The sequence below is a fragment of the Homo sapiens genome, chromosome 3 (genome assembly GCF_000001405.40).
Source record: "Homo sapiens chromosome 3, GRCh38.p14 Primary Assembly".
Lineage (NCBI taxonomy): Eukaryota > Metazoa > Chordata > Mammalia > Primates > Hominidae > Homo > Homo sapiens.
Window position 1 is genome coordinate 97767912 of NC_000003.12, and position 26974 is coordinate 97794885.

Below are 26974 nucleotides of genomic sequence, written 5' to 3' on the forward strand. Positions count from 1 at the left end.
TTTCTGGTAATCAGCTTACACTGTGTTTACTAAGTGCAAAGCTACATTGACATAGTTTTCACACTATTATTATGTGTATTTAAATTATTACCTTTTTTTAATACACCTACCAATATTTTCCATAACTTAAGGTGCCTTTGGGTAATATTTTATTTTTTCTTAATTGCAGCTGGTTTGTAAATATTTGAATCACATTATGGGATTGCTAGACAGACTTTCAGTCTTGCTTGGCCTGAAGAAGAAGGAGGTTCATGTTTTGTGCCTTGGGCTAGATAATAGTGGCAAAACGACGATCATTAACAAACTTAAACCTTCAAATGTAAGTATCTTTGTTAGATGCTTTATGTATTTTCTGCTACTAAAGAAAATTAATGTGCAGAATTATGTTATATGACGTTAAAACCGCATATAATCACATTAAGATATTCTGTTAACCTTTCAGTACCTTTAAGTATCCTCAGCCATAATTTGCAGTATATTTTACACAGTAAATTTTAATTATTAAACTGGAATATTATTTTCAAATGTCTTTTCTTTCAAAAGTTCTTCACAGATTTACTGAGTTTACTTTAAATGTCATTGCCTTCTTTTTAGTTTCCTCCTTACAGGAGGAGCAAAACAGAGAAAGGTGAAACATTTTTATAGGTTCTATGGATAATTAGACAATTTTTGAAAGTATAGTATGCATATTAGTAATAGTAAGCAAGATGATTTTAAGCAACAAGTGTATGGACATATTGTAATAACTGAAAAATATATAAAGCTAGCACATTTAACATGTGATGTATAAGTTAAAGTTAAAGTCTGCTGCATATAAAGAAAGCCTATCTAATAGGGCTTTCCTAATTTCTGGCACCAATTCCTGAGCCTTTATGTTTGGACAACTCTCCTGCCTTATCAGAAAAACTGACCTCCAGGTCCAGAGAAAAGTGATTGGCTTTGCTTTTTTTTCTTTTTTTTATGGTAATGGTAACAGCCAAGGAGCCACTTGAAATGGGACTTCTTGAGGGGTTTCAAACCTCTGTCACTCAGTTATAGATGTAGATACAACACTTGCTCCCTTCCTACACCAAGCTCAAGAAGAGTCTCTTGTAAGCTTACATCCACTACTAGAACATTATTTTTAAGGAATTAAATAAAATAAGTACAGAAATGTACAATGCTGTGATAGGAAATGCCTTGCAAAAAAATAGTGCCCATCTCATTTTATAGTAAAATTGTCTCATTTTTGTGGATAAAATCAGTTTCTAGGTAAGTAGTTCTTTCCTGGACACAAACTAGTTTTTCATATTAAGCTATCTTTATGTTTATTTATTGTTAATGTACTGAGGTTGCTGGCATTTTAGAATAGGGAGAGAGGGAGGACATTTTAATCTGATCGCTTTTTTCAAGAATCTAGTCTTAGCTGTCATTTTTTTAGAGATAGACTCTATATACCTTTTTCAAAAATTTCAATCTTTATTCCACTACCAATCTTTATTGTCACATCATCCAGTTTTTATATCATTTTTTATTGATACAAATTTAGGGGTTACATGTGATAGTTTGATACATGCATACAATGCATAATAAATCAGAGTCACTGGGATATCCATCACCTCAAAAATTTATCTTTTTTGTATGTTCAGAACATTCTAATTCTTCTTTTCTGGCTATTTTGAAATATCCAGTAAATTATTGTTGACTATAGTCACTCTACTGAATTATCAAACACTAAGTCTTATTCCTTTATCTAACTGTATTTTTATACCTATTAATGAACCTCTCTCCACCCCTCTCTCCGCCCTACCCTTCCCAGCCTCTGGTAACCACCTACTCTATGTCTCTATGAGATCTACTTTTTCAGATCCCACAAACAAGTGAGAACATGTGATACTTGTCTTTCTGGACCTGGCTTATTTCACTTAACTTAATGACCTTCAGTTCTCTCCATATTGCTGCAAATGACAGGATTTCAGTCTTTTTTATGGCTGAATAATATTTCATTGTGTATATGTACCAAATTTTCATTATCCATACATCCATTGATGGACAAAAGTGTATTCCATATCTTGGCTATTGTGAATAGTGGTGCTATAAACTTGGGAGTGCAGGTATCTCTTTGATACATTGATTTCCATTTTTTTGGATATATTCCCACAGTGGGATTGCTGGATCTTATGGGAGTTCTATTTTTAGTTTCATGCGGAAACACTATACTGTTTTCCATAGTGGCTACACTAATTTGCATTCCCACCAACAATCTACGAGAGTTCCCCCTTTTCTACATCTTCACCAGCATTCATTATTTTTTTGCCTTTTTTGATAAAGGCAATTTTAACTGGGGTGAAATAATATCTCATTGTAGTTTGATATATATTTTCCTGATGAATAATGATGAGCATTTTTTTCATATGCCTGTTGGCCATTTGTCTATATTCTTTTGAGAAATGTCTATTCAGATCTTTTACCCATTTTTTTAGTCAGATTTTTTGTGTTTTGTTTTTCCTTGCTACTGAATTGAGTTCCTTCTGTATTCTGGTTATTAATCCTTTGTTGAGTGGATATTATGTAAATATTTTCTGTAATTCTGTAGATTATCTCTTCACTTTGTTGATTGTTTCCTTTGCTGTGTAGAAGCTTTGTAGCTTGATATAGTCCAATTTGTCTATTTTTGCTTTTGTTACATGTGCTTCTGAGGTCTTACTGCCCAAATCAGTGTCCTGAAGCATTTTCCCTGTGTTTTCTCCTAGTACTTTGATAGTTTTGGGTCTTAGATTTAAGTCTTTAATCCATTTTTAGTTGACTTTTGTATATGGTGGGAGATAGGGGTCTAGTTTCAGTCTTCTACATGTGTTTATCCAGTGTTCCAGCATCATAAGACTATCCTTTTCCCAATGTATGTTCTTGGATGTCTTTTTGGAAAATGAGTTGGATGTAAATACATGGATTTATTTCTGGCTTCTCTGTTCTCTTCTGTTGGTCTGTGTGTGTGTGTTTATGCCAAAACTATGCTGTTTTGGTTATCATGGCTTTGTAGTATAGTTTGAAGTCAGATAGTGTGGTACCTCCAACTTTGTACTTTTTGTTCAGGATTATTTTGGCTATTTGGGGTCTTTTATGGTTTCATATAAATTTTAGGATTCTTTTTATATTTCTGTGAATGTTATTGGTATTTTGATAGGGATTGCATTGACTCTGTTAATCTCTTCGGGTGGTATAGATATTTTAACTGTGATAATTCTTTTAATCCATGAGCATAGATAGAATAGCTTTTCATGTTTTTGTGTCCTCTTCAATTTCTTTTATCAATATTTTATAGTTTTAATTGTAGAGATCTTTGGTTGGATTTATTCTTAAGTATTTTATATTTTTTATAGCTATTATATATGGGATTACTTTCTTGATTTCATTTTCAGATTGTTTGTTCTTGGTGTATATAAATGCTACTGATTTTTATATGTGGACTTTTGTATCCTGAAACTTAACTGAATCTCTTTATCAGTTCTAACAGTATTTTTGGTAGAGTCTTCAGGTTTTTCTAAATATAAGAACATGTCATCTGCAAACAAGGATAATTTGAGTTATTTCTTTCCAATACTGATGACCTTCATTTTTCTTGCCTAATTGCTCTGGCTGGAACTTCTAGTATTGTTTTTGAGTAAAAGTGGTGAAAATGAACATCCTTGTCTTGATCCAGGTTTAGAGGAAAGGCTTTTAGTTTTTCTCCATTCAGTATATTAGCTCCACCAGTATAATATTAGTATATTAGCCATGGTTTTGTCATTTATTTAGCCTTTATTGTTTGAGGTATGGTTCTTTTAATCCAATTTGTTGAGAGTTTTTGTCATAAAGAGATGTTGAATTTTATCAAAAGTTTTTTCAACGTCTATTTAAATGATCATATGGTTTTGTCCTTGATACTATTAATCTTATGGGCTCATATATTGATTTGTGTATGTTGAACCATCCTTGCATCCCTGGGATGAATCCTACTGATCATGGTGAATGAACTTTTTAATAGGTTGTTAGATTCAGTTTTGCTAGCATTTTGTTGAAGATTTTTGCATCTATGTTCATGAGGGATATTGGCCTGTAGTTTTATCATTGTATTCCTGACTAGTTTCGGTGTCAGATTAATGCCAGTTTTGTAAAATGAGTTTGGAAGTGTTTCCTTCTCTTTACTTTTTGGGATCGTTTGAGTTGAATTAGTATTTGTTTTTTAAATGTTTGGTAGAATTCCATAGTGAAGCCATCAGGTCCTAATATTTTCTTTAATGGGAGACTTTATATTAGTGCTTTGATCTCCTTACTCATTATTGGCCTGTTCAGGTATTTTATTTTTCCATAGTTCAATCTCAGTAGGTTGAATGTGTCCGGCAATTTATCCACTTCTATGTTATCCAATTTGTTGGCATGTAGTTTTTCATAATAATCTCTAATAATCCCTTGTATTTCTGTGGTATCAGTTGTTATTTCTCATTCTTAAGTTCTAATTTCATTTATTTGGATCCTCTTTTTTTTTCCTAGTTTATCTAATGTCTTCTCAATTTTATAATTTCAAAAAGCCAACTTTTTGATTCTTTGATCTTTTGTATGTTTTTAGTCTCACTTTCATTTATTTTTGTTATGATCTTTATTTATTTCCTTCTATTAATTTTGGTTTAGATTTGTTCTTCCTTTTCTGGTTGTTCGAGGTGCATCATTGGGTTATTTGAAGGCTTGTTACTTTTTTTTTTTTTTTTTTTGAGATGGATTTTTGCACTTGTCGCCCAGGCTGGAGTGCAATGGTGTGATCTCGGCTCACTACAACCTCTGCCTCCCGGGTTCAAGCGATTCTCCTGCCTCAGCCTCCCAAGTAGCTGGGATTATAGGCATGCACCACCATGCCCTGCTAATTTTGTATTTTTAGTAGAGATGGGGTTTCTCCATGTTGGTCAGGCTGGTCTCAAACTCCGACCTCTGGTGATCTGCCCACCTCGGCCTCCCAAAGTGCTGGAATTACAGGTGTGAGCCACCACGCCTGGCTGCTACTTTTTTGATGTATGTGTTTATTGCTATAAACTTCTTGGTTAGTACTGGTTTTGCAGTATCCATAGATTTTGGTATGTTGTATTTCCCTTTTCATTTAAGAATGTATTAGTCAGGGTTCTCTAGAGGGACAGAACTAATAGGATAGATATCTATAAAGGGGAGTTTCTTAAGTGGTATTAACTCACACAGTCACAAGGCTCCACAATAGTCTGTCTGCAGGCTGAGGAGCAAGGAAGCCAGTCTGAGTCACAAAACTGAAGAACTTGGAGTCCGATGTTCAAGGACAGGAAGCATCCAGCATGGGAGAAAGACGTAGGCTGGGAGGCTAAGCCAGTTTACCTTTTCACATTTTTCTGCCTGCTTTATATATTCTGGGCGCACTGGCAGCTGATTAGATGGTACTCAGCCAGATTAAGGGTGGTCTGTCTTTCCCAGCCCACTGACTCAAATATTAATCTCCTTTGGCAGCACCCTCACAGACACACCCAGGATCAATACTTTGCATCACTCAATCCAATCAAGTTGACACTCAGTATTAACCATCACAAGTCCACCCCTTGTCAATACACATCTCCTGAGATCATACATAATGTTCAAATAAGGACAATAATAAGGTCATAATTATGCCTAACATAATACAACTATCCTTCGTACAACCGGAAATATACCAATCCCCAACCCAAATGCTATTACATAAAGTCAACAGTATTTAAATGCTGAAATGAAGTTAATAAATCTTATGTCACATGATAAAGGAAAAAGAAAATAAAATGAATATATTTTCATAGTACAAGTTTATATGTACACAAACATGTTTTTAACAAAAGGAGGAAATACTCATGGCAGTTACAGTCTTTGTTTCTGTAACTGGTCATGTGGTCACAGCTGGTATTGATGACTACCTTCTTCTACTACCTATTCTGTATTCCCTTTGCCTTCAGCAGGCACCTCAGCAGGTGCTGCTTTTGTTTGTTTGTTTGTTTGTTTTTCCTGGTGGAGTGACCCAAACCTTCATTCCTGGAGGGTCTGGTCCATATGTAGTCCTGCCAGATTGGGCTGTTGTAGTTTCCCATTGACCTTAATCACAGGGCATGGTAATACAAAGAGATGCCCTAATGGATCTCCTATATTCCATACATACTCTTCCTTACCTCCGTTGTGGAGTGATAGTCTGATTTCATCTTGATAGTCCCGGATAGTCACCCCAGCCAACACTAACTCCCTTCTTAGCTTGTTGACTTAAAGGTAGGAGGAGCCTGTTCTCCAGATTACTGTTTATATAAATTAGAAAACTCGAGCAGTTCTTTTTGAGTGTAGTGCACCACCTCATGGATCACACTCTCAACCTTACCTCTGGGGCCCCCCCAGGATTTTAGTTATAGTTTAGTTATTCCGGGATTTTAGTTTAGAATCCCCCCGGGATTCTAGAAGCAGGCGGGGGTATTGAGGGTGACTCTTGAGGAGAATCAACATTATCTTGCCTGGCAACTGCCTCAGGGGAGGCCATCACTGTTGTCCCAGGCAGCGCAGGGTTTATCTCCTCAGACAAAGGTGGAAAGGCTGATGGCAGCATGGGTGGGGGAGGGGATGTTGCCACTACTGGGAATGGGGAAGCTGTTTCTTCTGGCAAAACAAGGTTCATCAGAGTTTACAAGCTTGGTGTCCCCAGCTTCATCAGGGTCCTCCCACACATCCCCATTCCAAGTTGCAGAGTCCCATTCTTTTCCAATCAATGCCCTCACTTCAACAGTAGGTACCTGGCGAGGCTGTGCATGCACCTTTCATTGCAGGTCAGCAACTGATATAAGAGCTTGTGCCTGTTTTTCCACAATTTCAGCTCTTTCTCTACAGGAGATAAGACTCTCACTCAGGGCAGTCTTAGCAGCTTTGAGGCTCAGTATGTGCTTCTGAAGCTGGGAGTTACAATCCCTGAGTTCATAATTTTCTTTCATTACTTTGTCCAGTGAACTTAAGAGCAACCAACCAACTTCATTATGTTCCTTGGTTCTCCACATATAGTCAAAGGTATTATGTATAGAGTCACTAAACTACTTACCGCTCACGAGCAGTGAATCAAGAGTGTCAAATGCATTTATTTTGCATAACTCTCTAAACAGTTCGTGCCAAGGACTATCAGTGTTCTCCATACTATTAAAAGTAGAGTCCTTAGCATTTTGGGGTCTAATCATATTAAGCAGCCAACTCCAGAAACCCCAAAACCAATGAAAGAACTCCATCCTTAATATTCTGTTCCTCTAGAACCACTCCTGGTACCAAAATCTATATTAGTCAGGGTCCTCTAGAAGGACAGAACTAATAGGATAGATAGATATACATATAAAGGGGAGTTTATTAAGTAGTATTAACTCACGTGATCACAGAGTCCCACAATATACCATCTGCATGCTGAGGAGCAAGGAAACCGGTCCGAGTCCCAAAACTGAAGAACTTGAAGTCTGATGTTCAAGGGCAGGAAGCATCCAGCACGGTAGAAAGATGTAGGCTGGGAGGCTAAGCCAGCCTAGCCTTTTCAGGTTTTTTTTTTGCCTGCTTTATATATTCTGGCCACACTGGCAGCTGATTAGATTGTTCCCACCCAGATTAAGGTGATTGTTCCCAGCACACTGACTCAAATGTTAATCTCCTTTAGCAGCACCCTCACAGACACACCCAGGATCAATACTTTGCATCCTTCAATCCAATCAAATTGACACTTAGTATTAACCATCACAAAGAACTTTTGAATTTCCTTCTTAATTTCTTCATTCACCCATTGAATATTAGGAAGCATGTTAATTTCCATGTGTTTTTATAGTTTCCAAAGTTCCTCTCATTATTGATTTCTAGTTTTATTCCATTGTGGTTAGAAAAGATACTTGATATGATTTCTACCTTTTAAAATTTGTTGAGATTTGTTTTGTTGCCTAACATGATCTATTTTAGAGAATGTTCCATTTGATGATGAAGATAATGTATATTCTGCAGCTGTTGGATGGAATGTTCCATAAATGTTTATTAGGTCCATTTGGTCTAGAGTTCAGTTTAACTTGGATTTCTTTTGTTGTTGATTTTTCTGTCTGAATGATCTGTCTATTACTGAGAATGGGGTGTTGAAGTCCTCTGCTGTTATTGTATTGCAGTCTTTCTCACCCTTTAGCTCTATTAATGTTTGGTTAATATATACGGTGTTCCCATGTTGAAGGCACATATATTTACAATTGTTATATTCTCATTCTGAATTTACTCCTTTTTCCTCATATAGTGATTTACTTTGTCTCTTTTTATAGTCTTTGACTTGTAATCTGTTTTATCTGATATGAGTATAGTTAATCTTGCTGTTTGTTGGTTTTCATTTACATGGAATGTCTTTATCCGTTTTGTTTTCAGCCTGTGTGTATCTTCATAGATGAAATGAGTTTTTTGTGGAAAGCACATAGTTGGGTCTTATTTTTTTTTAATCCATTCAGCCACTCTGTGTCTTCTAATTGAAGAATGTAGTTCATTTACATTTAATACTATTACTGATAGGTAAGGACTTACTATTGCCATTTAGTTAATTTTTCTCTTGTTTTGTAGCTCCTCTTTTCCTTTCTTCCTTTCTTAAGGGATATTACTTGTGCTAATCTTAGTACTGGATATTTGTTTTTGGTTTTCTGTGGGAGATAGTGAAGCCTAATTGCTTCTTGCTTCTACTTCATTTTGGTGATGTTACCCTTATTCTTTTTGTTTATTTATTTATTTTTTTTTTTTGAGACAGGGTCTGGCTCTGTCACCCAGGCTGGAGTGCAGTGGCACAATCTTGGCTCATTGCAACCTCCATTTCCCGGGTTCAAGTGATTCTGCTACCTCAGTCTCCTGAGTAGCTGGGATTACAGGCACGCGCCACCACACCCCACTACTTTTTTTGTATTTTTAGTAGAGACGAGGTTTCACCATGTTGGCCTGGCTGGTCTTGAACTCATAACTTGAGGTGACCTACCCGCCTTGCCCTCCCAAAGTGCTGGGATTACAGGCGTGAGCCTCCGTGCCTGGCCACCCTTATTCTTAAAATTTAAAACAATCTAAAATTGTTCAGTTGATAACTTGCATATTCATTTGATAACTGGCTTATTAAATTTCTCCCATTATAAACGAGCATAGATTTTTCTCTTCTTCAGCAGTGAATCCCAGATACCTAGAATAATGCTTGGCACTTTGGATGAGTAGATTGATGGATGATTTTTTAATATTTAGTTTTGGCCAGGGGATTATGATTGATACCACCAAGGATATCATTTTTATCAGACTTAATGAAACTAACCAAATAGGATCTCTCTCAGAAATCTTATTCTGTTCCTGTTTATGTTGGTGTATCCTTGAACTGTCTCAGAATGTTTTGTTCCACTAAGGCAATACGATAACCACAGGAGATTTGTTCCAGGACACACATTCCCACCCACCCCCTTCCACCCTCCTACCTATATAAAATGGTATAGTATTTGCATATAACTTATGCACATCCTCCTGTATACCTTAAATCATCTCTAGATTACTAATAATACTTTAATACAATATAAATACTATGTAAATAGTGTTTATTGTATTTATACATTTGTAATATTTTTATTGTTAAATAGTATTGTTATCTTTTTTAAATTATTATTTTCAATTCATGTTGGCTAAATCTGTGGATTTAGAAGCTATAGATACAGAGGGCTGACTGTAATTCCTATACTCTTTGTTTACTTTGTGCCATTCCCTGTCCAATTTTCAGAATAACCAAATGTATTTGTTCTTGGATAGAGCAGAGGGAGATTGATATTGTAAACTATCTTTTGGAATATGTTAGAGGAAAATGAGTTCCACTTCAGTCTGGAAGCAATTGCTCACATATCTTGTTCTACCCTAATTAATTTGTGAAGTTTCTTTTTTTTCCTGATTACTTTCTGCTAGAACTTTTGAAGTGATGGAAAGAAAAGAAAATTTATGAATTTTATTCCTACAAGTAAAATAGCAAGTTTCTCTGGAAATAAAAAAGAGTTTGTGAAGAAGTTAGGTGATCGTGGGGACGCTAGGGAAATGTTCTAATTATAATTCAGTGAAGACAGGGTTGCTATTTTAATATACATTTTTTGAGACTTCTTTAAACTTTAGCTTCCTATTTTGTTATTGGTGTCTTTTTCCTCATAGTAGTAGCTGATGATTTTTTCACAATGATTGGCACATTTAAAGCCCTTAAAATCAAAATAATGAAGTTGGGGGAACATTAAAACTTAGGAAACTTCTTATTGCAAAGGTTGTTCTGAAATGAAGGAAACCCAAGGTATGAGGCAGGAATCTTAGTGGCAGGAAATGAATTTTGTCTTACATAAACAAAAATATATTTTTGGAAAAATACTAGATCAGATCTTGGAATGGATAGAAGGAAAAGGAAAAAGCTAAGTAAACAAACTTCAGAAAGGCAAAACAAGGGCAGCTCTGGAGGGCCTTTCTACTAGTGCATTACCATGCTATTAAAGTGACCAAGCTCCAGTGAATTTTGAGCTTCTGTCTTTCCTTGAATTTAAATTTCCCAGAAGTAGACTACCAGAGTGAATGTAATAGTGTGAGGCAAAATTTTCCCCTCTAATACTGTTTTTTTATAAAAGCAACAAGATGAACTGAAGGGAGTTTTTTTTAAAGTTATAGTGACAATATGGGAAGAATTGGGGAAGAGACTGAAATCAGTGAGCATGTAATTATAATAATATCAGACATTTGTTGAGCATTTACTGTGTTGAGTATTTTACATCCATTAACTTATTTACTTATCATGATAAGTTTATGAGTAAAGGATAATAATAATATATTTCACATTTGAGAAAACCAGGCTTAGAAAAATTAAGTAACTTGTTCAAGGTAGCAAAGGCAAGTAAGAGCAATTAGGAGGCTGGTACAGTAATTCAAAGCAAGAAATGATAAGGGTCTGAACTAAGTTAGTGAGATAGAACCAAAAAGCTTAGAGAATGATTACATAAAGAATGTAAAAAAAAGGGAGGAGTCAATAATAATTTCTAGGCATCTGGATCAGAAAGTAGATATATTTTTATTCAAACAGAGGAATAGTTTTTCTGATGAAAGTGCTAGGAGGCATTTAACAAGTTAGATTGTTAGTATAATACATTTTAATTGTCAGTGGGATTTGTCAACATGTCTCCTGCTGTACTCTAGCCCCCTTTCAATCTCTTCTCCACGCAGAATTCCCTACCATTGCCTTCAAGCCCTTACCTCAACATATCACTCTTTATCTTACCCGATACACTTGAGACATTTAGGCTTTCTGCATTTCCTCAGTGGCAAGTTCCTTCCTTCCTCAGAATCATTGCACTGACAGATTTCTCTGACTGGACTGTTCTTTGTCAATAACTTGTCATGGTTCTTCCCCTCCTGTCATTCACTCCTGGGTCAGATGGCCCCTACTCAGAGAGACCATTCCTGAGCACTTTTCTTCCATGCCACCTTCCAGCCCCTTTCTGTTGCCTCCCACCCCCAAAACATTTATTTTTGCACTTATCTCTGCTCAAAATTGTGTTCTATTTACATCTTCTAGCTTGTAAACTCCATAAAGGCAGGAACCATCTACACATGAGGGCAGTCTGGAACATATACAAACTCACGTATGTGTTGAAAGATTAGAAAGTATGCCAGGCACGGTGGCTCACTCCTGTAATCCCAGCACTTTGGGAGCCCAGGGCGGGCAGATCACAAGGTTAGGAGATCGAGACCATCCTGGCTAACACGGTGAAACCCTGTCTCCACTAAAAATACAAAAAATTAGCCAGGCGTGGTGGCGGGCGCCTGTAGTCCCAGCTACTCGGGAGGCTGAGGCAGGAGAATGGTGTGAAGCCGGGAGGTGGAGCTTGCAGTGAGCCGAGATTGCGCCACTGCTCTCCAGCCTGGGTGACAGAGTGAGACTCTATCTCAAAAAAAAAAAAAACACTTATTAAACCACTTATAAAACAAACGCTTATGTCCTTGGTAGCATGCCACAAGCCACAAATGTGAATTAATATTATGCAGATTCATAATTAGTAAACCTTAAACTTCTATAAAGAATTCACACAGAGTGATCCTATTGAAAAAATTATATAACTTTGTTAAATCCTATCATCTCCTTAGTGACAGATTTTAGAAACTGAAAATCTGGATACTTTAACTTGAGGAAAACTCATCTCTGGTAATTGTAAATTTCTGAACTTTGTCTTTTCTCTTAAAGGCTCAATCTCAAAATATCCTTCCAACAATAGGATTCAGCATAGAGAAATTCAAATCATCCAGGTAATCCACTTTATCCCTTAACAAAAAAGTTGCTAGTGAAAAATAACAATATTAGGTCTACCTGGTCATTCTTCCTACCCTTAGATAAAGTAATTTGTTGTTTCAGAATCTCATAGGTATTAAAGTGTTTCTAACCACTATGGCTGGTTTATTTTTCAGAATTTAGAGTTTAGACAAACTCTGATAACTTCACTAGCAAAGAAGTTTTTTATGTTATTTATTGCAAAATTGTGTTTATATTAATACATTTATTTCATAGAACTTTTACTTGTAAATTGGCACATGTTGAATATTGCATATGAAGGGTAATTTCTTTGATTGTAAATAATTTAAAATTTTAAGTAAAAGTTATGCTTTAGTTTATAATGTAGTCATGTTTTGCTTCTTTTTGTAGTTTGTCATTTACAGTGTTTGACATGTCAGGTCAAGGAAGATACAGAAATCTCTGGGAACACTATTATAAGTAAGTACATCTGTGAATGTTGCTTAACTAGATGGTTTTTACTAATAATAATGATTAGAAATCCAAAGAATTATATGGCTAGGTTGTTTGGCTTTTTTTTTTCATGTAATTTATGAACATTTCCTATTTTAAAAAATATGTAATGAGACTCAACATTGTTTGTCAAATGTTTCAGGTCCTTCATGACTTCGGGCCTTTGCATGTACTATTCTCTCTGTTTTTAATGCCCCATTCTATCCTACTTCACTTCAGTTTAAGGTTAACATATTCCTGCTTTAAAACTCAGCTAAAAGTCCTTTCCTCTGAAGTTTCACTGTTCTGCCCAGTTATTTTGTCCTTATTGTTCACCTGGCACTTTGTCCATTTCTATCTCTCTAATCATACTTACCATGTCTTGAAGTTATGCACCATAGCCGCCTCCCTAGTGGAAGTGTGAACTCCTCAAGGGAAGGGATTATTTATTATTCATATTATTTTTTCAAGACCTAGTATGATGCTCAGCATATAGGCCAGTAAATATTATTGACTAAATTTAGTTAAAAATAACAGTGTTGCCTAACAGTTGATCCATTGTTCTATGAATAATTTGAAACAAGCCATTTTTCAGCATATGCAAGTCAAGTGCTCACTAATTTACACTTGGTCCTTCATGTCCTTGGGTTCTGCATTCCTGGATTAAACCAATTGTAGATCAAAAATATTTGGGGAGAAAAATGCCATAAAGTTCCAAAAAGCAAAACTTAAATTGCCGTGCACAAACTACTGTATTGAAAGCATATAAATGAGGTCATATGTAGGCATTGTATTACGTATTATAAGTAATCTAGGGTGATTTAAAGAATATGGAAGAATTTGCATATGTTATAAGCAAATACTAAGCCATTTTATATAAGAGACTTGAGCATCTGCAGATTTTGGTATTTGAAGGGGATCCTGGAACCAATCCCTCGCCAATTCGGAGGGATGACTATACTTCAGACTAATAGCTGTCAAGTTACTAGGACCCAAATGTGTTATACCTTCTGGAGATTTGCATATGGTAATAAAATAAATTCATTAGCTTCTAATATTGTTAGGACTTCATTTAAGAGCAATGTATTTCACTTTTAGAGTCTGAAACTTAAAAACACTATCTCTTAACTAAACTCTCTTTTGTCATTATGAACTGCTGCCTTGAAATGGTATGTGATATTTACCAGATAAGATTTAGATTTAGATTAACTCTTTCCTAATAATGTGAGACCAAACATTAAATGGTATATATTTGGGATATGAACCAGAGGAAATTTATTCAAATTTTTTTTTCAATGAGTCCTTCAATAAATTGAAGGCCTATTTAAATCGTAGGTCCAGAAGACTTCTGAGAGAGAGGGAAAAGAGAGTGCTTCAGATTCGAGGGTTAGTTTGGAAAAGGAAAAGTGGCATGTTTGTGGTATTCTGCATTAAATTCCTTGGGGAGATGCATTTTATGTGTTTCTTATTTGTTTGTGTGTTTAGGAAACCTGAGTTTTCAGTACAGGATTTTTTAAATTCCTCCTCCAATTAGTTGATAAATAATTCCTTTTAAAAATGTATTTAGCTACTTTAAAAATACTTTAATTTTAATTACAAAAATATATATAGAGAGAAAATAGTAGGAAAGTAAACTTTGTTTTTATTTGATTTTAACTCCTTTTTTCTTTGTACTGTTTTTGGATGAAATTTATGAATTCTAGAATAGAGTGGTTACATTGTAGATTGAATGGAGAATATGATTACTATTGAAAAATCAACAATAAAAGTAAATTTACTTTCCCTATTTTCGTACTTTTCTAACTGTGAAACAAAACAAGTACATTTTGATCTATTAGACTGAAAAAGGTTACAAAGATTAATAAAGTATGCTCTTGTCAAAGTGAGCCACTCCTGTGAGAATGTAATATCTTTTTCAGGGTAATTTATTGATATCTGTTAAAATGAAAAATGTTTATAAACTCCAGCAAGCATTTTTACTTTTAGAAAAGTATTCTATGACCAGGGCTTATGGGCAAAAAAATATACATAGAAGGTTGTATGTTAGCATTATTTATAACATTTTTATATCAATTATGTAAAAATGTTACTATAAATATTTATCTTTGCTATATATATAACCATAGTAGTAAAAAAAAAAAATCAAGGAAATTTACATTTGCTATAAATATGTACTTACTATGTATAGAAAGAAGAAAGTTCTTAGTGGATTATGCACCAAACCATTAGTAGCATTTATTTTTGGAATAGTAGGATTATAAGGGAAGTTTACTTTCTTTTATTTTTCTTTTCTTTTTTTTTTCACATCCTGTTTGGTGAAGAGAGACATTTACTTTCTCATCTATATGATGCCATAATGTTAAATATTATATAATTTTTACATACTATTTTTACAATATAAAAAGGTAATAGCATGCAAAAATATAAGGAGTACACATTTTTTAAATTTGGAAAATATAGAAGAGAATATTGAAAACATGTTTCCCATAAATCTCACTATTCATAAATTCACCATTGTCAATCTTTTTGGTATCTTTCTCCTCCTTTTGAAATATATAACATATACTTTATATAACTAAGGAAAAAGGAACCATCTAAATTATGTACCATGTATAATTTTGTATCTTGCTTTTTTCAGTTAACATGTGGTAAGGGTAAATCAGGAAAAACATGCAATGAATATAACTAACAGCTGCCTAATATTTTTTCACACAGCTTTGCCAAAATTTCTTTAACCATTTCTCTACTCTAGGACATGAAGGCTATTCTGTTTTTGAAAATTGTAAACAGTCCTTCAGTCAAAATCTTGTATAAATCTTAGCCCCAGTTCGTGATTCCTTAGAATGAATTTCAGAAATAAAATCACTGGCTCAAAGTGATTGAACGTTTTTATAGATCTTGATAGGTACTTTGATTGTTCTGGTTTCTATATGTACTGGTAATGTATGTCTGTGATAATCAGCATTATCCTTTTTTAATGATAGGAGAAAATGGTATATAAAAAGTTTTATTTTGTATATCATTTGATTATTAATCACATTGCAGTTTAAATACTTAATTTATGATTAAGTGATTCGCAAAAAAAAGTACAGATGTCCAATAAATATATGAAAAGATATTGAACCTCATTGGCAATTAATGAACTAGATCAAGATAATATGCTGTTAGAATGGCAATTATTGAAAAGAATGATGATAATGATAATAGCCAGTGCTGGCAAAGGAGTGAGAAAAGTACTGAGTCATGTAAATTGATATGGCATTTCTGGAGGACAGTTTGGAAATGTTTTTCTAAAACTTTAAATTATGTATGTAGTCTTAGAAATGTTACTCCTAACATTTCTAATAAATCTTAAAGCATCAGAACTTTTTTAAAAGAAAGGTATGTAGGAGGATATTTGCCTTAAAGTTTTTCATAATGATGAAAATTGGAAATAACCTAAAAGTCCAGCAACAAATGTTTGATACAGTATTTGATGACACATCCATGCAGTGCAATAGTTTAGAACCATTAAAAGAAGATAGTGCAGAGGAATAATCAATAATTTTTCAAGTGCCTATGTGATCCATGGGTGAATCCTTAACTAGTTCAATCACTGGCTATCAGCTTTTAAAAAATCAAATAGAATAAAATAAAAGCTATTTGTAAGTATTTTTTCAGAAGACTTTCACTTAAAATACATCTATATATACCTATGTGTCTACTGTATCTTAATACAAAATGTATTTCTCACTATGGTTTATGGTAAAAATAATTTATAAAAGTAGTAGTAAAACCATAGTAGTAAAAAAAAAAAAAATCAAGGAAATTTACATATGTATTGCAAAGGCAAGGTGTAATACAGGATTCCATTTTAAATACATATATAGTTTATTCATATGTAATATACACAAAGTGTAGCTTTATACCAAAATATTAATAATTATTGCATCGGTGTAATAGGGTTATGGTATTTTAACTCATTTTCTCATATTCTGATATTTTAATGAAAAAATTACTCATTTTTTAAAATTATGAAGTAGCAAGTCATTAAATTTACTTTATTATCCAAATGAAAAGGTATTTTACATGAAATATGACTAATGATTAATATATTTATCAGTCATATAAACTAATAAGAAACAACACCAAAAATTCTAATGATATATGGACATAGGACATAAGGAGATAATACTTAGGTTAGGAAATGCCCATGGATAATAAACATGGAAAAATTTATAAGTAAAGCTTTAATTTTTCTTTTTCTTTACATTACACAGAGAAGGCCAAGCTATTATTTTTGTCATTGATAGTAGTGATAGATTAAGAATGGTTGTGGCCAAAGAAGAACTCGATACTCTTCTGAATCATCCAGGTATGTGTGTGTCTTTCAGTCTGTATCTGTTCTTTGGGGTTCATTTATGTGTAATGTTTTGTTCTTTGGGTATTGCTTATACTATGTAATTATCTTTCATTTAAAATTTTTGAATTTAAAACATATATGTTATACAAAATTTATATTTTATGTACATCACCATATTTTGTAAATTTTGCATGCAATGTAAATGTAAAGCATTTTGCATTGTTTTTGGGGTGTCTAACATTTATTTCCTCAAAAATAAAAATTCCCTTTTTTCTGATTACATAAATTGTACCAAAGCAAAAAAAAAAAAAAAATCAGATGGAAAAATAAAATAAAGATCTGTGTATTTCAACACCCATTAAAATTATTTGTTACCATATTTTCATGCATTTCTCTATGTGTATCTGAGTTTGTGTGTGTTTAATTACAGCATTTCTTACATATTTATTCATATATATATATATATATATCTCCCAAAAATATCTGTAGGGTTGAGGACTGTGGGGACTATCATTGTTATTTACCAAAATGGAATCATATTCTTTACACTCTTCTGCATGTTTCTATTCTCAGTTAACACTTAATGATGGATATCCTTCCAAATCAAATTATATATAATTATGTAGTTATTCTTTTTAATGATGCCTAATATGGTTTACTATGAATGTACCACAGTTTATTTAATCATTCACCTGTTGATGTATACTTTCCTCCCGCCCAAGCCCCCACTACAAACAGTGCTCCAGTAAGTATTGTGGAACTCTGCATTTCTAGCCTTCCTCATGCCAAAAAAATTTAAATAGTGCTTGTGCTAGGACTTTCAGAAAAGGATGGTGGTTTAAGAGAACTGTGGATTTGTTAGAAATGAAATAGAAATAGTGTGGGGCTTTCTAATAAATGTTACTGCTTAACCACAATATCTTTGGTATTTTTAACAGATGACCTCAAGCTTACTGAAATTTTTGAAAAAAAATTATCCGCCCTGTACATTTTATTTGACTTTTTAATGTTAAAAACTTAGCAGTCTTGGCTGGGCGTGGTGGCTCAGGCCTGTAATCCCAGCACTTTGGGAGGGATTACAGGCGGGTGGATCACTTGAGGTCAGGAGTTCGAGACCAGCCTGGCCAACATGGTGAAACCCCATCTCTACTAAAAATACAGAAATTAGCCAGGCACGTGCACTTGTAATCCCATATGCTCAGGAGGCTGAAGCAGGAGAATTGCCTGAACCTGGAAGGTGGAGGTTGCAGTGAACTGAGATAGCACCACTGAGGGCAACGGAGGAGACTCTGTCTCAAAAAAAAAAACAAAAAACTTAGCAGTCTTGTATCTAGATTGATAATGCATTTTTGATTATGTCTTCCTTTCATATTAATCTTTCCAGTTTTTCTCTAAAAAGTGTTTCAGTGTTGAGCAGTAAAATGAAATAGTTCCTATAAAATATACTTCAAACAATGGGGATTTTGATTTCCTCAACTGAAGCCTTGTCTATGGATCTTAATGTACTACTTCCTTTATTTTATGGGATAGATTCCCAAGGGAGGGATTTCTCAGCTGAAGTGTATATGAACTTTTTAAAAAAATTGATGGCCATAAAAAATCTTTGAATAGCAAAATGTACTGTGAACAGATAAAGACAATGACAGGCAAGGGAAAATATTTGCAACTCATATCATAGCTACAGGGATATTTCTATACTACTTGTGTTTCTAAAAATCAGTAAGAATATAAAAGCTTAATAGAAAATGGGGAAAGGACATATCAGGTAAGTCAACAAAAACATAAATTTAAACATCTTTTGAATATATGGAAAGATTCTTGGCCTTTCTATTACCTATGATATGGAAAATATCAAGAAGTTTCATAGCAGTCTTTTGGCTAGGGGAGTGGAAACACTCATTCTTATACGTGGTTGTTGAAGTGTAAATTGATATAATTTTTAAGAGAAAGCAGTTTGGTAATCACTGTCTATCAAAAGAGAAATTTATGTCCTTTGACCCAACAATTCCACATCTTAAATTTATCCTAAGGACATACTGGCCGGTGTACAAAATTACCTATATACACATTTATTCATTACAGGATTGTTCATAGTTGTAAAGATTGGTAACAGGTATCTCAGTTGGGTTCTGGTTAAATAATAGTACATAGTACTAAAAGAAGAAATATTCCAGAACGGTTAAAATAATGAAGAAGCTGCTCTATATGTACTGATATGGGATCAGATCCAAGATATGTAAATAAATGAAAAGATAAAGGTATAAAGTAATGAGGTTGGCCTGCTATATGAAAATAATATATAATAATTATGTTTGCAAATACATAAAATATTTCTATGAAGATGCCAAGACACTGATGTTATGGGTTGCCTTTTCTACAGAGACCATTGTCCTAGGACAAAGTTAGGAAGGAGATTCTTTTACTGTATGCCATTTTGTATCTTCTGAATTTTGAACTATTTAAATGTATTGTCTATTCAAAAAAATGAAAAATGTTTCCAAAATCATGACAAGGTAAAAATATCTTTTAAAAATCTAGCTTGTTACTTATGATATTGTGACAAAAAACTTAAATAAGTTCCCAGTTTCTTTTCCTTCTACTTCTACTTGAAGTTTGCCTCCTTTCTGTTCACCATTAAAAAGGAAACAAAATATTTAATGCTTTTTTGTAGGTACTTCTCTGTAATGCTTATTGAGCTCCAGTCCCACCTCACCCATCTTTGGTTAAAGCTCCTAACCAGAGGGCAGATGGTCCTAGGAAGTATTTTTAAAATTTTGTTACTGCTCAAATACATGCCTAACAGTGTGACAGTATGTGTCTTTAAATGTTTCTGTGTGTGTGATATGAAAAAAGATAATTGAAAAAAAATTTCATGGGTTTCAGTACTAAAGATTTGCTGCAAAATGACCTAAAAAGCTGGAAGTGTGATGATAATCTTATTTTCTCTTTTAGATATTAAACACCGTCGAATTCCAATCTTATTCTTTGCAAATAAAATGGATCTTAGAGATGCAGTGACATCTGTAAAAGTGTCTCAGTTGCTGTGTTTAGAGAACATCAAAGATAAACCCTGGCATATTTGGTAAAGTTTTATATTTACTTTTCACTGTAGCTTTCTGAAAAATATACAAGCTTCAGAGTTGTTTCTTCTGATCTCATTTTTTAAAAATAAGTGATCAAACATGGTGGCATATAAGCTAAGGATTTTGTTTTGTAGAATTGTGGCATTGTAGGTTTTTACAAATATATTACTGTTAAAAACCTTTTTCAAATTTTTGGGGGGATAGGAAAATATAAACAACTCTTATAATGGAATAACTTAAAAGCTCACTTACTTACTGACTTCAGCTACACTGATTTCCTTCTGCACATGGAGTCAGCCAAGCACAGTCCCATCTAAGAGCATGTGCACTTGTATCCCCCTCCTTTGAATCATTTTCCAAAATAATTTTCCTGGCTTGCTAGAGTCACTATTACCATGTGACTGCTTTTTTTTTTGTTTATAGTCTGTCTGCCTATACAGGTGTGTTAGCTCCCTGACAGCTGGGGTTTTGTCAGTTTTCTTCACTTTAATAATCCCTACAATAGTCATAGTGCCTGGTATGTAATAGGTACACAATACATATTTGTTAAAATGAATAAATGGAAATGGAAATTTTAAGTTTACTTAGACATCCTAATAAGGTTGAACTCTTAAGTAATTAATGTTGAAATTGTTATGCATTGTTTGTTTGGAAAACAGTTTCTTATTTAACTCCATTGTGCCTTTCTACCAAAATATTCTAATAAGGATAAACAGAGATTATACATTAGATAGTATTTTAGTGCCTACGACTACCATCTTAAACTCCCTTCTACCCACCCACCTACCTCTCTCTGCTGTAAGAGGTCCTTTCCATGCCAGAGTTTCCCCCTTTTTATAAGAAGGTATCTGTGGGGAAGATTGGAAACAGAAGCAGAGAGATCCACTGCCACAAGAAGGGTGAACTAGAATATGAAGCAAGGAGGTCATAGAGTTCAGAAAACAACTTTAGGAACTAGTTTTGGCGCTGAAAGAGTAATAGTAAAGACCTTAGGAAAGCTCTTGACACTTTCCAGTATTCAGAGCCTCCAGCACCTCTTCCCAGGAGCTAAACCCTGCATATCCCAAGTAAAACCTTCCTTACTCTAGGATCAGAGGAAAAGTTAGTGTCTAATAAATGATTCTTGAGTTGGAATTTGGGTCCTGTGGTATTTGATAGGTAAAGAATGGTGGGATTTTGGATAAGGAAACGTCTTGAGCTAGAGCCTTTATATTTCTCTAAATCATACCTAAATTGATTACTTCTAAAATAGAATAATTTTTAATTTCTGTGTTGTATTAAGTATTGTGACTGCTTGATAGAAAGTGCACGTTTAAAAACATGGATCTAATTATTAAATAACCATCTTTTCTACTTAAAATAATTAACCATTACATTTTAACAGATTTATTTATTCAATTGTGACATCTCAGTATTTCTCTGTGAGAAAAAAAGTAATATCCTGATGCTTATAAGGATGTAGGATGTTATTTTGCCAGTTGCTAGATTTTCTGGATAACTTATATAAGAAAGCAAAGTGTTTCTTTTAAACATGTGTATAATTGTGACTTCTCCTTAATTCAAATTGGACCTCTTCTCACTAGGTTCAAATTAGTATCTCATTTATTTGTTTTGTTCTTTATTCTTGGCAATATTTTTAAAAGCATGTATAAAATTGAAAATGTATTTATCCTTTTTCTATTTTAAATATAAAGGTAATGCTCTCAGTGATACAGAGATAAAATATTATCTGTCTCCTGCCTTGGGTACAAGTAAATTTACTGAGCAATGAAGAGAAGATCCTAGAGAAGTATAGTCTGATAAATTAAAGAAAAATTTTATGTTTTATGTTTGACCATTGTACTAAACATATAGTCAGCTCTGATTTTCAGGGTCTGATTGTATTATTCTCCTTCAGATGCGTTCTTTGACTCAATCCCTGGCATCATGATTGTGTGTGTGTGTGTGTGTGTGTGTGTGTGTGTGTGTGTGCATGTTGTGTGTATGTATACTTGTTTACCATCTTGTGGGGGAGACAAATAATAAGCAAATAAATTTATAAAATGTCAGCTGGGAAGATGAGAAAAAATAAAGTATGATAATAAGAGAAAGAATAGTGGGAGTTCCTCCCTCTCTGAGACCTAATTGAAGTTAGAGAGCAATTCATGTGAAGGTTTGGAGGAATAATTGTCCAGATAGAGAGGCCAGCAAGAAAAAGCCTCTTCTTGGATGAGAATGTACCTGGTGTGTTCCAGGAGCAGCAAGAAGTCCAGATTGGTTAGAGCAGAGAAATCTAAGGGGAAATTGTAGGAAATGAGGCCACTGAGAAATAACCAGGGGTCATATCACACAGGGCCAAGATTTTCGCTTTATTCTTATTTATTTGAGAGGAAAGATAGAATTCGAACATTTGTTAGGAAAAGATGCAGTTTTTAGTAGGGTAATGACACCTACACCAGAGGGGAAGGGTTTCATTGTATTAATTGTTTGGAACTATAGGTGTATGATAAAATTAATATATTTATCTTTCTTGATTTAAGTGTTTCGGTTACTGATCTCTTACTCTTACCATGGATAATAAGTAATTTGCTTTGAATAATTGTGTATCTCATGTTGTTTGTTTCTTTCTTTGTATTTTATAATAATTCTATGATAAGCCATATTCTTAGTCTAACAAGTAATTTCTGGGAGATAATTTTTATTTGGATTATAATTAAGTTAATTATTTTAGGTACTTCACTATACTTTTTAAAGTCATGCCTTCAGCACACTAAAAGGAACCCTAATCATTCAGAAACTCTAATCATATATATTAATTGCTATTAAACAATCATATTTTGAAAATAAATGACTAGATCAATGACATGTTACGAGAAACTGTACCTTTTAAAAAGATTATCTGATCCTCTAAAAATCCTCTGCATTTTATTATTTTAATTTATATACTTAATTATGATTATACATAAAATCTCACAATAACAATTTAAGTTTAGTCTCTCAAGAATGGAAAGACAATGGAAGCACCCTGTTTTAGGTGTTTTATATACATACCTCAAGTATTTAATTCTCACAATCACCATATGAGGTCAATGATACTATTCCCCCACTTTACAGATGCTAAAACTGAAGACAGAAGAGTTCAATGACCTAGTCAAGCTCCCTCAGCTAATAAGAAAATGATTGAGATCTACCGACTTTTTGTTTTACTCTACCAGCTTACCAAACCTATAATTATGGGTTTTTATCCTAAAGATATCAAATTCCATTTCAAACAAAGGCACACCATAATATGGCTGTATTATAACTCAAGTCAAGCATTTCTAATAATGAGATTGAATGATTGGAACTGAGCAAAGTAGGATAGTGGGCTGTACAAAACTTTTCTACCACTGGAAAAATAAAAGTATTTGTTTTGTTAATGTCAGTGTAAGAACTAATCCTGGGATAAAATAACTTTTTTCAAAATCTGTTTATAAATTGTAAACATATCTTGTTCCTGAGCACTCAGACTTTTATTTTCTGTTTATTTTCAATTTCAATGCTTAACCAGTTTTGCTCAGATATATGTTGTTATAATGTGTTAATTCTCCATATGGCAAAATTGTAATCCTTTATTCTTATAGTTTTGTGATGTAATGAGATGGCTATGTTTCTTATGGATTTCATTTCAGTGCTAGTGATGCCATAAAAGGAGAAGGCTTGCAAGAAGGTGTAGACTGGCTTCAAGGTACATTACAAAATACTGTGTGTCTTCAGCCTTTGTTTCCTTTTTATTCATATTTTTATCTTTTTTTACATTTTATTTTATTATATCATTGCCTTTTTTCCTCTTTCCATTTATTTCTGCTATCAGAAAAAACAATACAGTAAGTATCCAATACCTTGTTCCATTTACTTCTATCACATATTGCTAAAGGATTTATTTACATAAAGTGTTTGAATCTTTACAGTCAATATATATGACACATATAGAAAACAATTTAAACTTATAGCAACAAGTTCCTGTCAGATCTAGTAATAGAAGCACATTTAAATTTTGGGACAAATGTTAGGCCCTAATGTCAATAACTAAAAATAAGTCTGAATGACATGTTTCTTTTAAGAATCATGCTGGCCGGGCACGGTGGCTCACGCCTGTAATCCCAGCACTTTGGGAGGCCGAGGCAGGCGGATCATGAGGTCAGGAGATCGAGGCCAACATGGTGAAACCCTGTCTCTACTAAAAATAGAAAAATTAGCTGGATGTGGTGGTGTACACCTGTAAACCCAGCTACTCAGGAGGCTGAGTCAGGAGAATCATTTGAACCCAGGAGATGGAGGTTGCAGTGAGCCGAGATTGCGCCACAGCACTCCAGCCTGGCAACAAAGCAAGACTCCATCTCAAGAAAAAAAGAAGAAGAATCATGCTATACTACAGATATAGCTCCATTTATACATAGCATGTATACACAACTTGTAATATTCATATTTAGTATTAGAGATACTGATCTTTTATTGATATTTTGTATATTTGCAGTTCTGGTTGCTATTCATCAAAATAGTTATCATAGATTGGTACAGGCTTACTATATTAGGGAATAAATTAACATATATCATTTACCCTAATGGTCTCTCAGCCAAAAGAATGGCTTGAAGCACACAGAGCAGTAGATAGTTGTGAATGAAACCAAGCTCATAGGTTCTTATTGCAGGATCCTAATGGCCAAGTCAGAAATTCCATTTCTGAGCATAACAACTAGAGATCATTTCTACGGGGAATGTCTCTGCCCTGAACAAGAGTGAATAACAGGATATTATAAATTCTAGCTACAGTCTCATAGTTACAAATTCTTCTACACAAACCTTTTAATGCCAGTTGTGTGTGATTTTTTTTTTTAAATCTTCTGCATGTTGCAAACAATAGCAGGGATATAGCACATATCATGGTAGATCTAAGAGTAGCCTGCCTGCTCATACATCATAGTATTTCTTTGGTTCAAAGTGCGAAATGTACATTTCATAAATATTTGTATGTGTTATTGGTATAATATGGTGGTTTAGTTAACTGGACAGACTATTGTACTTCTGTGTCTTTTATGTTTATGTAGTTATCATAACACCATTAAACTGCAAGGAACATTCAAGTCATATTTCACAATTAGTGACAATCAGGAACCTCTAGTGATTCTCAGAAGAACTACGGGATTTTTCTGTGAACCCAGCAACTTAGTTTCTTAGACTGCAGTAAAGAAGTGTTGAAGGCAATGGGGTGGATTTCCACCAGAAACAGGCTACAGAGGAATATTCCAGAGAAGATACCAGGAGTATGTTTTCAGCCTTATTTCATATTTTACAGAGTGCTTACCATTGCTAACAATGAAGATATAGCATGGATGGAAACCCTATTGTCACTCATGATAACCTAATTCAGAGCACAATATTTACTGAAAATAGGTTGATAGTCTTCTGGATTTTAAAGTGTGGTTCTCCATCCCTTCTTTTCTGGTTTTATTTTGTCACTAGCAGTTAGCCACTAGGTGTCAGTAGCAATCCAACATCACAATACAAATTGCCAACTCTGGTCTTGATACCTAATTTTTGTTTCTTTCACTTTTCTGATCCATCATTATCTGTCTTACCTCCCAAGTCTTTGTAAGGAGGACACATTTTGGAAATACTTTTGTGTCCTTGTTTTTCCATATTACTTTATGTACCCTTTACAATTTTCTGCAAGGTAAGCAGTAGTACCTCTGTTTTATATAGAAAGCATTGACTGATAGTTGAAAAAAAAAAAACTTAGGCTTCTGAGTCCAGCAAATTTATTCTACTACTTATTAATTTACCTCTCTGTTAGCTAACATCTGTTACCTTGTGAAGATTTTTTTAATCTGTAAAAGTAAAAAATAAAATGTGTTATATTTTGTACAGATTAAATTAGATACTGTTAAAGTACCTAGCATAAGAAAGCACCCCATAAATGTTAAGTTTACCCTTTTACCTAAACACTCTATTTAAAAAAGGTGGAAACTAAGCCACAGGATAAAAAAGTGTATCATTTGGTTTCAAATAGGAGGTGCTTTGGTTATATTTTCTTTCTTTTGTGTGTGTGTGTGTGTGTGTGTGTGTGTGTGTGTGTGTGTTTTTGAGATGGAGTTTCACTCTTGTCTCTTGTCACCCAGGCTGGAGTGCAGTGGTATGATCTCGATTTACTGCAACCTCTGCCTCTCAGGTTCAAGTAATTGTCCTGCCTCAGCCCCCTGAGTAGCTGAGATTACAGGTGCCTGCCACCATGCCCAGCTAATTTTTTGTATTTTTAGTAGAGACAGGGTTTCACCATGTTGGGAAGGCTGGTCTCGAACACCTGACCTCAGGTGATCCACCCACCTCAGCCTCCAAAAGTGGTGGGATTACAGGCATGAGCCACCGCGCCCGGCCACTTTGGTTATATTTTCTGTGTAATAACAAATAGTTTATATTGTCATATTCCCAACTGTCTCTAGATTTGAAAAGAGACAAAAATCTATTTTTAAAAAATAAATAGCAGTAAATATAGGAGAGTAGTTTGTGTTAGCCAAAGTTCTTTATGTGAATGTAGCTGTGAAGGGTATTCTGAACTTATATCTGATTTTGCTTCCAGAATTCTGGAATTTCCTAGTATGACAAACAAGAAGGCCTTTGGTTCATTTGGGGCTAATTTAATATTATTATTTAAAATTTAAGATTGGGGCCGGGAGCAGTGGCTCATGCCAGTAATCCCAGCACTTTGGGAGGTTGAGGTGGACAGATCACTTGAGGACAGGAGTTCGA

At 34.1% G+C, this 26974-nt stretch overlaps 1 protein-coding gene across 23 annotated transcripts in view; it reads left to right on the forward strand.

Moving 5' to 3' along the window:
* The window catches only part of ARL6 (ARF like GTPase 6), a 36722-nt gene that overhangs the window by 3391 nt on the left and 6357 nt on the right, over window positions 1–26974 (forward strand). For 8 of the 23 annotated variants that reach the window (XR_007095753.1, XR_001740321.3, NR_103511.3 and 5 more), the window contains 6 exons: window positions 170–319; window positions 12248–12309; window positions 12704–12772; window positions 17044–17138; window positions 20079–20208; window positions 23860–23915. Coding sequence is in view for 8 of the 23 variants with exons in the window: in XM_017007311.3 (XP_016862800.1) it covers window positions 197–319; window positions 12248–12309; window positions 12704–12772; window positions 17044–17138; window positions 20079–20208; window positions 23860–23915 (535 nt within the window). In the remaining 15 variants the exon portion in view is untranslated. Of the gene's footprint in view, window positions 1–169; window positions 320–12247; window positions 12310–12703; window positions 12777–17043; window positions 17139–20078; window positions 20209–23302; window positions 23916–24041; window positions 24055–25275; window positions 25492–26974 lie in introns of all 23 variants that reach the window. The other 15 variants (XR_924186.4, XR_924185.4, XR_924188.4 and 12 more) reach the window with 6 other exon arrangements.